This window comes from Homo sapiens, chromosome 13 (assembly GCF_000001405.40).
Source record: "Homo sapiens chromosome 13, GRCh38.p14 Primary Assembly".
NCBI lineage: Eukaryota > Metazoa > Chordata > Mammalia > Primates > Hominidae > Homo > Homo sapiens.
The window spans coordinates 30802715-30814084 of NC_000013.11; the positions used below are offsets into that span (position 1 = coordinate 30802715).

The following is an 11370-nucleotide window of genomic DNA, read 5'->3' on the forward strand; positions in this document are numbered from 1 at the left end:
AAGAAGGTCCACCTCTAACTGGACACACACAGTTCAAACCTGTGTTGTTCAAGGTCAACTGTACACGCCACCGAGACCAGAATGGGTGGTTTGATATTTGTCAGTGGCAACAATTCAATATTCTATCCTTTAGATGTTTTCTCACTCTGGTCACATTTAATGTGTTTAATTGATGCTGTGTGGAAGTTTCTTCACGTTAGAGGATAAATAAGCCATTCCCTTTGATAGGAGCCTGGGGCTTTCCCTGCGAGGAGGGCACTTTGGGAGCAGCCTTCTCATTAGAGGGCAATTAGCCGGGCTCCCGCACCCGGTGCCCTGAGCGGGGCTCCTGAGTAGGCAGGGCAGACGCGCCATCTAGTGGCAGCTCTCAGGACGTCCACACGCCTGCTCCTGCGGGCTCCCGCGCCCTGGGGTGGCAGGCACCGGCATGCTAGAGGTTAACGAGGAGGTTCCCTCCTTCCAGCGTGGATGAGCCTTTCCGTGAGGGTGACCGGAAAGGCGCCTGGGCTGGTGACGGTGTCAAGTGTAGGCAAGAAATACGGCTGATCAAGAAGCGACTTCACCTCCCTCGCACAACACTGAGTCCCTTTGCGGCAGGGGCCCTCCCCGCCGCGAACCCTACTTGGAACCTTGCGCCATGCGATGTCTCTCTCATTCTAGGCCACGGAAGCCCTGGGTCACCCTTTCAGCCTGGTTCTCTCCGGTGGTGCTGGCTTGTTTCTCCTGTCTGTTGGGGTCAGCTGCGTCCAGCCTCGGCTCCTGCAGGATTGCCCGGGCAACCCAGAGGAGATGGGCGGGCGTGGAGGTCCTCCCTGGATGACCCTTCCCACCATTTCAACATCATTAGGAATTTAACAGGCTTTTGCAAGAAGGCCCAGGTACGCATCCCCCCATTTATAGTAGGATTTCCAGGACAAAATGTATTCCACTCTCTAAACAACAAGCAACATGTATACAACCCATTCATAAGGTAAAGATTCCCTTGCCTACACCTAGCTTCTCCTGCCCAAGCATGGCCTTGTCGTTCTCTTCCCCAGGTCAAGTTCAGGACCTAGCAGCTGGGAATGCACATTTTCCAAGTTAAGAGTGGAAGAGTCCCAGCTTGGCTTAGATGGAGTCACATATAGGATTCAGGTTTGCCTTGGCAGGTCTGATGGACCTTGGTGAGGGTCCGCCAGCAGCTGTGCACAGCAGCTGCCCAGGGCCATGCAGCAGGCACCGCACTCCCCTTCCAGGAAGGATTCCAGGCCCAGCTACAAGGAGCGTGGCTACTGACAGCTGTCCACTCACAGCTCGTCAGACTAAGCTTCAGCTTTCAAAAAGGACTGTGCCCTCCTTGGGCTGGCCCAGGCCCACATAAGAGCAAGGCAGTGGCCCAAAGGCCTGGCATTTCTGCCCACCACGGGATTCCTCTCCTGGGTGGTCTGTGCTCCAGAGCTCTCTGTGGGGCTGGCTTACTTCTCCCCTGGCCCCTCCACAGGAGTTACTCAGCTATAGCCCCTCTGCACACATAACTCTATCTGGGAGCCTTTCCCGGAGGATGCAACCTAACTGGTTGGCTCATCCTATAGAAGCCAGTGTCCTTGACTTTTTCAGGTGATGAACCTCTTTTGAGAGGATGCTGATAACTGTAAGCATCTTCCCAGGATTTGCACATGTCCAGTGTTAGAGTGCAGGTCCCCCAAGGCCATCCCACGGGCCTTCACAGGGAGTCGGGTTGAGGACTTCTGACTGAAGGAGGTGGGGAGGAGGCGAAGTCGGGGAATGAGGAAGATGGGGCTGGGGGATAATAACAGGGCTTCCGGCAATGGAGAGGAGGGTTAATTCTCATTTCTGACTCACAGCGCAGCCTCCCATGAGTTCATGGATTCTGTGGGAAAAACCAAAAGCCAATTCCCTCAAGTGCTATGTCAGGCCCTGCAGGCAGGTGGCCGGCGGTGGCCCCATATGGCTCTGGCACAATGAGGGCTTCAGAGAACAGAGCTGCCTCTGCCTGGGGAGTGCCAGTGGCATCAGCAGCAGGGGTGGTGCCCAGTCACCCATGTGGCAGAGGCTGGCTGGGCACCGTCTCCTCTGGGTAACATGGTGCCCACCAAGCCCTGGAAGCAAGGCCTCCCAGCACCTTTGCAAGCAGCAGATATCATCTAGCAATGTCCAGCTGGATGGAAAGAAGATACAACAGCTGGAAAGTGGCATTGGCTGACCTCCTCCAGAAAGTCTCTTTCCAAAATAATTGGCAAGGGTTTCAGGTGTTAGATGTTCTTCACTGACAGGTGGAGAAGGAGCTAACAAAACAAGATTGTGCAGGAATGAGAAGTCGTATTTAGGATGTACGACAGCAGACACACAGCACACACACACACACACACACACACACACACACACACACACACACACACACCAGGGGCTGTTTTCAGCACTCACTTATATTAATTGATTTAATCCACATACAGCCTCATGTGCTAGCTCCTATTATTATCTCATTTTACTCTCAAAAAAACTGATGCACAGAAAGGTTTAGCAGCCTGCTAAAGTCACGCAGCTGAAAAGTGGCAGAGCTGGGATCTGAGCCAGGAAGCAAGGTACAAGGTCTGTGCTCTTCATCTCCTTCTATGCTGGCTGTATGCTTGCTAGCGGCCATGAACTTGGACCTTGGGGTGGGAGGGCTCTGCGTTCATTCCCAGCCCCCCTTGTTACTGGCTGTGTGATTTCAGGTCGGTTTCATTCTTCTCTTTGACTCAGTTTCCTCAACTGAGTGTAAAATGATAGTGATCCTACCTCATAAACATGTGTGAGGCTTAAATGAGCTAATTATGTAAAAGATTTTTGCTGCCACACAGAAAAATGCTTAGTCTGACATTGAATATATATGAAATTTTTGGATCTGCGCCACCCACAGAACTCAGAGTAGGTTCTTTAAATAAACTTCTGCCCCAGACTCCCAGGCCAGCCCAGCCACTGAAGGCACCAAGACAGGAGCCCTGTGTCCGCTCCAGCCCTGAGGCTCCGGAAGCCAGGCAAGAGCATTTCCCGGTGGATTCCTGGCTGGGCCCAGCCTGGGGCCTCTCAGTGCTCCTGGTAGCCTTGCATTTTCTATCTTCAAGGGAAGCTTGAGTGCTGGAAGCCTGCCCGCCCCTGCACATTCCTACCAGCGCCTGAAATCAATGATGCCCTTGTTCTCCTTGGAAGCGTTGGATGTGTGGGAGAAGGTTGAGGGCACACTGTCATCCCGCCAAGCTGTCTGGAAAGCTGGAGGGTGCATGAAAGGCTGGGGAGCACCCAGTCCTGCATAGGTACCTCCTGCTTCAAATCAGCCAGATCCAGGGACTCACACCATGGCATCAATGTGAGGAGCACTATAAGAGGATACCCTTCTAGTGGGTTTCAAAGCACCTGATTAATACAAATGTAATCAACACGAAGCTTTTCTACTACATATTCTTTGTGTAAAGCCATATGCACTCACATTCAGAAATACTAAAGATCAGGTCTAGAAAAATATTCCTACAGGCAGAAAGAAGAGAGAGTCCAGTTCTAAACACAGGGAAGGGTTGAAGAAGCACAGTGGGTGAGGGAGAGCCCATGTGGGTGGGAGAGGATGAGGGCACAGGTGGATATTGTTTTAAAATTTGGTAGTGGCAAATTGGAAGCACAATGTAATTTCACTTACAATTTGCCTTCCATCAAATAGGATCCCCAAATACTCAAAGGCCTTAAATGGAGGCTTTTCTTTAACGATCTCAAATTTTTAACTTTTGCTAGGCGTGGTGGTTCATGCCTATAATCCCAGCACTTTGGGAGACTGAGGCGGGCGGATCACCTCAGGCCAGGAGTTCGAGACCAGCCTGGCCAACATGGTGAAACTCTGTCTCTTCCAAAAATACAAAAACTAGCTGGGCATGGTGGATCGAGCCTGTAATTCTAACTACTCGGGAGGCTGAGGCAGGAGAATAGCTTGAATCCGGGAGGCGGAGGTTGTGGTGAGCCAGATGGCACCACTACAATTCAGCCTGGGCCGCAGAGTGAGACTCCATCTCAAAATATATATATATATATATATATTTTTAAACTTCCACTTCTCATTTCAGAATTCATGAATCTTGTCTCCTTAATGTTTTTCTGTCATGGCACGGTATTAAGAGTTTGTCTTCAGAGTATGGTCTCATCATCCAAATCAACTTTATAAGCCACAGATTCCTCCATTCACATCTTAGCTGGAGGCATGGCTACTTCTAAGGACTAAAAATAGTCACGTTGTCCTGACTTCCTTTTCCTCTTGGCAGAATCAGAGCCTGAGTCATGTATGATCTTTCACGGAAGAACATGCCTTTGCACTACAAGTGGTATTTTTTCTCTCAAAAAATAAATTTGTATAAATATATTTTTTTCTAACAAATGCTGTTATAAATGCACCAGGAAAATTTATTTTCAAAAACTGCCCTAAAGCTAACACTTTAAAATTGTATTCTTGTTTGTTTTTACTCAATAAATATTAAGTGCTTATCATATGCCATGCACTAGTCTAGTTGCTTTTCTGGACCTTTGATTTTAGAACAAGCACTTTTTTTTTCTTTTCCTGAGAGCTGAGGTCTCACTATATTGTCCAGGCTGGACTTGAATTCCTGGGCTCAAGTGATCCTCCTGCCTCAGCCTCCTAAGTAGCTGCGAACACAGGTGTGCACCACTGCACCTAGCTAGAACAAACACATCTTTTAAAGGAGCAAACTAGTTTCAGAGTGTTAAGGTGGAAAGTGGCTGGCTAGAGGAGTGGGGCTGGGGGTGTTTCCAGAGACAGACTCGCTGGGGAGGCCTTTCAGAGCAGATGAGAGTTGAGCCGTGAATGCCCAGGCAGGGCCAGCCACATAAATGTAGAGTAGTAAAGTAGTTTAGGCAGCAGTGCAGCAAGTGCAAAGGCACTGGGGTAGGGATACAACTGAGTGAGCCCAAGGAATAGAGGGTGGCTGTGGCTGGGGCAGAGTGAGGAAATACCATTAAAGAGATTAGCAGGCCAAGTAAGGCGGGGCTCTGGGTGCCAGAATGAGCCGAAAGGTTTCATTGTAAATGCCCTGCAGAGCTTTTAAAAGTTTTTAAGCTAGGAAGTAACTTGCTCTGATTTGTGGTTTATAGAGCTCCTTTGCTGTCAAGGAGTTGCTGCAAAACAGTACACAGAAAATGGAACAGTGAGGAGGGGTGTAGCTGAAACGAGACTGGCCATGAGTTGATAAGTATTACAGTTGGGTATCTGGGTATATTTTGTGTATGCTTGAAAATTCTTAGAACAAAAGTTTCAAAATAACTCTTTTTTTTTTTTTTTTTTTTTTTTTTGAGATTGAGTCTTGCTCTATTGCCCAGACTGGAGTGCAGTGGTGCGATCTCAACTCACTGCAATCTCCACCTCCCAGGTTCAAGGAATACGCCTGCCTCAGCCTCCCAAGTAGCTGGGATTACAGGCACGCACCACCACACCTGGCTAATTTTTGTTTTTTGTATTTTTAGTAGAGATGGGATTTCACCATGTAGGCCAGGCTGGTTTTGAACTCCTGACCTCAAGCGATCCTCCTTCCGCAGCTTCCCAAAGTGCTGAGATTACAGGCGTGATCCACCATGACTGGCTTCAAAGTAACTTTTTATACAGCAAAGGAAAAAATGGAAACAGAACCCTTTAAACGGCACACAAACAAAATAAAATAATAGCCGAACACTCTCTTTGGCTGCTCTGTGGAGAACAGATCATGGAAGGATGGGTGGGAGGAGGACATTCAGCTAGAAGGATTTTGCAATAGTTCAGGCAACACATGGCAGGAGCTTGGTCTGGGGGTAGCAGAGTCCATGAAGTAGGTGTGGGATGGTTTGGAGATGAAGCCAGTTGGACTTGCTGATGGACTGTGTGTTGGGGTGATGGAGCCTGGGGGTGGGAGAGGGGATTGACACAAGTGACCAAAGGCAAGTTATCATCTCCAAACGTGCCTTTTGCCACTAGATGGGACTGTCATCTACTGAACTGCATTAACTAGCTTGATTAGCTGGAGAAAAGGTATTAATCATGTTTTTCATTTTTTGATGCTTTGACATCTTGGGTGTCGAACATGGAAATGTCACATGATGGGAGGGCCCTTGAGTCATCCCTCCAAGGAAAACTGCATGACCTAAAATATTCATATTGAACTTTGCATGAGTGAGAAATAAACTTTCAGTGGCTTAATTTAAGCTTCTGAGGTGTGGGGGTTATAGATTCCAGCAATTGGCCTATTCTGACTGATGCAACTGCCTGCTCCAAGTGGACAGAAATCTCATGGATAATTGAAATAATAAGTAATTCCCAAATGATAGTTTAGCCAGTTAATGAGAAGCAAATTACTCCTTCTGCCTACTGTATGTTAAGGGTTGTTAATGAATATCAAAATGACCAGAAGACTGGGAACAAAAGGGGGGAGGAGAAATGAAGGGCCTTGAAAAATGTGTTTACTGACCAGCCAAGCCCTGAGAACATCACTTAGCCAATCTATAGAGGGAGCTGAGAATAAGAAAATAAACTTTAACATAGTGAGTCCTGAATCAGTTATTCATTCATTCTTTTTTTTGAGACAGAGTCTTGCTCTGTCGCCCAGGCTGGAGCGCAGTGGCATGATGTCAGCTCACTGCAACCTTTGCCTCCTGGGTTCAAGCGATTCTCTTGCCTCAGCCTCCCTAGTAGCTGGGATTACAGGCACATGCCACCAAGCCCGGCTAATTTTTGTATTTTTAGTAGAGAAGACATTTCCCCATGTTGGCCAGTCTGGTCTCAAACTTCTGACTTCAGGTGATCCACCCGTTTCAGCCTCCCAAAGTGCTGGGATTACAGGCGTAAGCCACTGCACCCAGCCTCATTCATTCAATAAGCATGTAGCGAACACCTACTGTGTGCCAGGCACTGTGCTAGATGCTGGATATACTGTGGAAAATAAATTTTACATGGTACCTGTCCTGAAAGAAATTATAATCTAGTTGTGGAGATAGAGACAAAAATGAATGAATGAAACAGTAAGTGAAACAACTGTAAGTTGGATCAGGGGCTATGAAGGAGTCAGACTAAGGCTTGAGATAGCACAACCAAGGGAGATTGACTTTAATGGGGAGCAGGGGACTAAGGGAAGAGAAAGTGCAGGCTACAGGCAGAGGCAGGGTAGAGACCAGGAGTGGGAGAGCGAGTGGCAGGTGGAGAAGGGAGCATGAGGCATTCTGGGCAGCGGGACAGCATGTGCAAAGGCCCTGAGGCTCTAAGGCTGTACACATTTGAGCAGCTGATTAAAGACCAGTAGGACAGAAGGAGGAGGTGAGGGAAAGTGGCATAAAATTAGGTGGAGAAAAAGACAGAGGTGGATCACACAGGGCCTGGGGCACAGTGAAAATGTTGACTTTTATTCTCATTTCAGTCTCCCTGCTTCCTGGCCTTTCTATTTAAAAGCACCCATCTTCACCTTCTCCCAAAGGCTCTGGAAGTTTTACAGACAGCATCTTTCTAGCCTCGCCCTGCGTCTCTTTCTAGTCATTTGACTGAGGCTGAACAAAGCCCAGATGGGAGTTTCATTCCCTTCACCTCCCCCAACTCCCAGCTGAAGGAGGCTGGCCCCAGACACAGGACACAGCTTCCTGACCCTGCGGGCAGGAGCCTGGCTTGTTGGTGACGGGCAGGAGCCTGGCTTGTTGGTGAGTGGGCCTCCTCATTGCTGCTGGAGTTTTCCATCCTCATTCCACAACAAGCCAAGTCAGCAAGTTGCTGCCAGGAACCTTCACACCTTGTGCTTTGGGATCTGAGGGGAAACACACACACCGGCACCACCCTCCCTGAGCCCGGGAATGAAGCCAGCATCAGCGGAGAGCAACCTACTGAGGAAAATGATGGAGTAATTCCCTGGGCACACTTCAGGCGTGGTGCCAGGTAACAGGCCCTGCCAGGGGGTGACAGAGGTGGTACCATGGCATGTCTGGGGCCTGCCCCGAGACACCAGCTGGCAGCAGCCACACTCTGTCCTTAGCAGCACTCGCAGCAGTCCAACACTTTGGTTGTCACGCAAGACACGCTGTTTCTGACAGGACGCCGCAGCCGGGTAACACGGGCAGATGCAGAGGGCACTATCCTGCGGCGCTTTTTTGAAAGCACGCCATTTTTCTTCCCTACCCAATTAACTTTCCAGAGACCCATCCCGAAGGACTGGATTCATCACTAGAACCAACAAGATGAGGATTTGTAGAGCCGGCTGCCGTGCCACTGAGGCTCCTAGTGGGTTATCTGCGTGGCTTGCCTGACCTCAGCAGAAATCCACAGCGCAGGGCCCAGAGCTGTGTGAGCACCTGCAATTGAAGAATTCACAATTACAAGTCATGTGTCTAAATTGGCAGGCTTTCAAGAAAGTCCCACCAATCTTCAAGCATACAGCCGCCAAGGGCCACGTAAAATGTTTGTAGCTTTAATATACAGTTTCATTTGCTTGAATATCATCAGCTTGGGTGCAGATAATCAAAGAATGGCTCAGGATGGAGAATTTAATATGAGAATTCGGCCAGGGCTGCCAAGCCATATATGTGCTAATGTTGCAATTTCAACCTTGGACTTAAGGTCAAGATTAATTTAGTGAAAAATATTATTTCACGATGTAACAGACACCTTCTGAGTTGGAGAGCCGAGGAATTCCGGAGGATGGATGAGGCATGGGTGTGTCTAGAGACCTCATGGCAAAAGTGGCTGCATTGCCCCCTCAAATGTTAGTTAATATTTGGGCACATTTGAGAGATAACAACATAGGGAGATTTTTCTTTAACTTTCTATTATGGAAAATCAAACATATGCTATATTAGAAAGAACAGTATAGGAAGTGGAAAACTTTTTCTTTACAGGGCCAGATAGTAAATAATTTTGGTTTCCCAGGCCATATGTTCTCCGCCTCAACTATACAGCTCTATTGTCACACAAAAGCAGCTATTGATAGTGTATAAATGAATGGTGATGTCTTCTAATAAAACTTTATTTGTGGATGCTGACATATGAATTTCACAAAATTTTTACATGTTATTAATAGTCTTCTTTTTTCCTGACTTTTGTACCATTTAAACATATAAACATCTTTCTTAGTTCCCAACCCTTGCAAAAACAGCTGGTGGGCTAGAGTTGGCCCGCAGGTCACAGTCTGCCCAGCCCCGAAGTACGTAGAAGGACCCCCAGCCCCGAAGTACGTAGAAGGACCCCCATCCCCAACACCCTGTTTCAACAAAAGTCAGCTCATGGCCAATCTTGTTTCATCTATTCTCCTATCCTTTTTTCCTCTCCTTGGATTCTTTGAGGCAAACCCTCATCAACAAATTATTTCATCCATATTCATATTTCAGTACTTATCTCTAAAAGAGGATTCAAATTTTAAACAAAAAACTACAATATCATGATCACATCTAAAAATATTAACAATTCCATAATATCATCAAATATCCAATCAATATTCAGTTTTTCCAATTGTCTTATAAATGTTTATTATTATATATTTTAGATTTTTTCCCCCATTCAATTTATTTGTTTGAATCAAGATCTAAATAAGATCAATATGTTGCAAATATATTGCAATTGCTTGATAGATCTCTTAAGTCTTTGTTGTTGTTGCCGTTGTTGAGACAAGGTCTCACTCTGTCCCCAAGGCTGGAATACAGGGGGCCAGATCATGGCTCACTACAGTCTGACCTCCTTGGGCTCAGATGATCCTCCCACCTCAACCTCCCGTGTAGCCTGGATTACAGGTGTGCACCACCATGCTTGGCTAATTTTTATATTCTTTTGTAGAGATGGGATTTCACCGTGTTGCTCAGGCTGGTCTTGAACTCGTAGGCTCAAGTGATTGGACCTCCTCGGTCTCCCAAACCGCTGGGATTACAGGCATGCATCACCATGCCCAGCTTCCTAAGTCTCTTTTAATCTGTGAGTTTCCTTTCCCACCCACACCTCTTTTGTACACATTATTTGTTGAAGAAATTGTGTGGTTTGTTCTGTAGGATTTCCTGGAGTCTGGGTTTTGCTGATTGCATCTCTGTGCTGTTATTGGATGTGTTGTTTGTCCTCTGTATTTTCTACAATACAACAGTATTTTCTGCCAAATGGAAGTTAGAGCTAAATGTTTGATGGCATTCGGGTCTTATTGTTGTCTTGTTTTTTGGTAAGATTACTTTACAGGTGACTGTGTTCTCCCATCAGAAAGCACACGTGTGGTTGCTTCTCTTTTTCTGATGCTAGCAGCCATTGATAATTATGGCCTAGATTCATTACTTAAAAAAATTAATAGACTTTATTTTTAAATCAGTTTTGAATTTATAAAAAAGTGAGCAGATAGTACAGAGTTCCAATATACTCCCTTTCATACACAGTTTCATCTATAATTAACATTTGGATTAGTGTGATATATTTGTTGCAGTTGATGAACCAATATTGATCCATTCCTATTAACTAAAGTCCATTGTTTACATTAGGGCTTACTGTTTTATACGGTTCTGCAGTTCACAAATGCGTAGTGACATGTTTCTACCATGAAAGTATCACACGGGAATAGTTTCACTGCCCTAAGAATCTCCTGTGCTCCACCCGTTCATCCATCCTTGCACCTAAACCCCTGGCAACCATGGGGCTTTTCACTATACCTATAGTTTAGCCTTTTGCAGAACATCATATGGTTGGAATCATACTGTAAGCAGTCTTTTCAGATTTATTTCTTTCACTTAGCAATGTGCATTTACGATTCCTCCGTGTCCTTTTGCAGCTTGACAGCCCACAGTTCTTTTCAGCACTGAAAAATATTTCATTGTATGGATGTGCCACAGTTTGTTCATCAGTTCACTGAGTGAAGAACATCTCGATTAGTTCCAGTTTTCGGCAACTATGAATAAAACCTCTATAAACATTTATATGCAGATTTCTACGTGGACATAAGTTTTCAGCTTAAATAGGTAAATATTAAGGAGCATCATTGTTGGATTGTTTGGTTAGAATATGTTTAGCTTTTTAGAAACTACCAAACTATTTTTCAAAGTGGCTGTACCATTTTGCATTCCTACCAGCAATGAATAAGAATTCCTTCTATCCCACATCCTTGACAACATTTGGTATTACCAGTTTTTTGGGATTTGGGCCATTCTGATAGATGTATAATGATGTGCCATTGTTGTTTTAATTTGTATTTACTTCACGACATAAGATATCAATGGAATGTCTTTTTTATATGTTTATTTGCTATCTATGTGTTTTCTTTTTTTTTTTTTTTTTTTTTTTTTGAGACGGAGTCTCGCTCTGTCGCCCAGGCTGGAGTGCAGTGGCGGGATCTCGGCTCACTGCAAGCTCCGCCTCCCGGGTTCACACCA

At 46.1% G+C, this 11370-nt stretch overlaps 1 long non-coding RNA gene across 1 annotated transcript, besides 2 other annotated features; it reads left to right on the forward strand.

Annotated features, from left to right (window-relative positions):
- Positions 267 to 386: a silencer, noted in NCBI's record as "silent region_5238". NCBI's record gives its function as "represses an Ori minimal core promoter by ATAC-STARR-seq in GM12878 lymphoblastoid cells {active_cell/tissue: GM12878}" and the evidence as "EXISTENCE:reporter gene assay evidence [ECO:0000049][PMID:35858748]".
- On the forward strand, positions 492 to 7931 carry LINC00398 (long intergenic non-protein coding RNA 398). Its single transcript, NR_047012.1, has 2 exons — positions 492 to 878; positions 7413 to 7931. It is a non-coding gene; the product is annotated as a long intergenic non-protein coding RNA 398 (long non-coding RNA).
- Positions 2545 to 3045: an enhancer, noted in NCBI's record as "H3K4me1 hESC enhancer chr13:31379396-31379896 (GRCh37/hg19 assembly coordinates)". NCBI's record gives its function as "activates a minimal SCP1, AML or CMV promoter by ChIP-STARR-seq in primed H9 embryonic stem cells {active_cell/tissue: H9 hESC(primed)}" and the evidence as "EXISTENCE:reporter gene assay evidence [ECO:0000049][PMID:30033119]".
- Positions 7932 to 11370: the final 3439 nt, after the last annotated feature.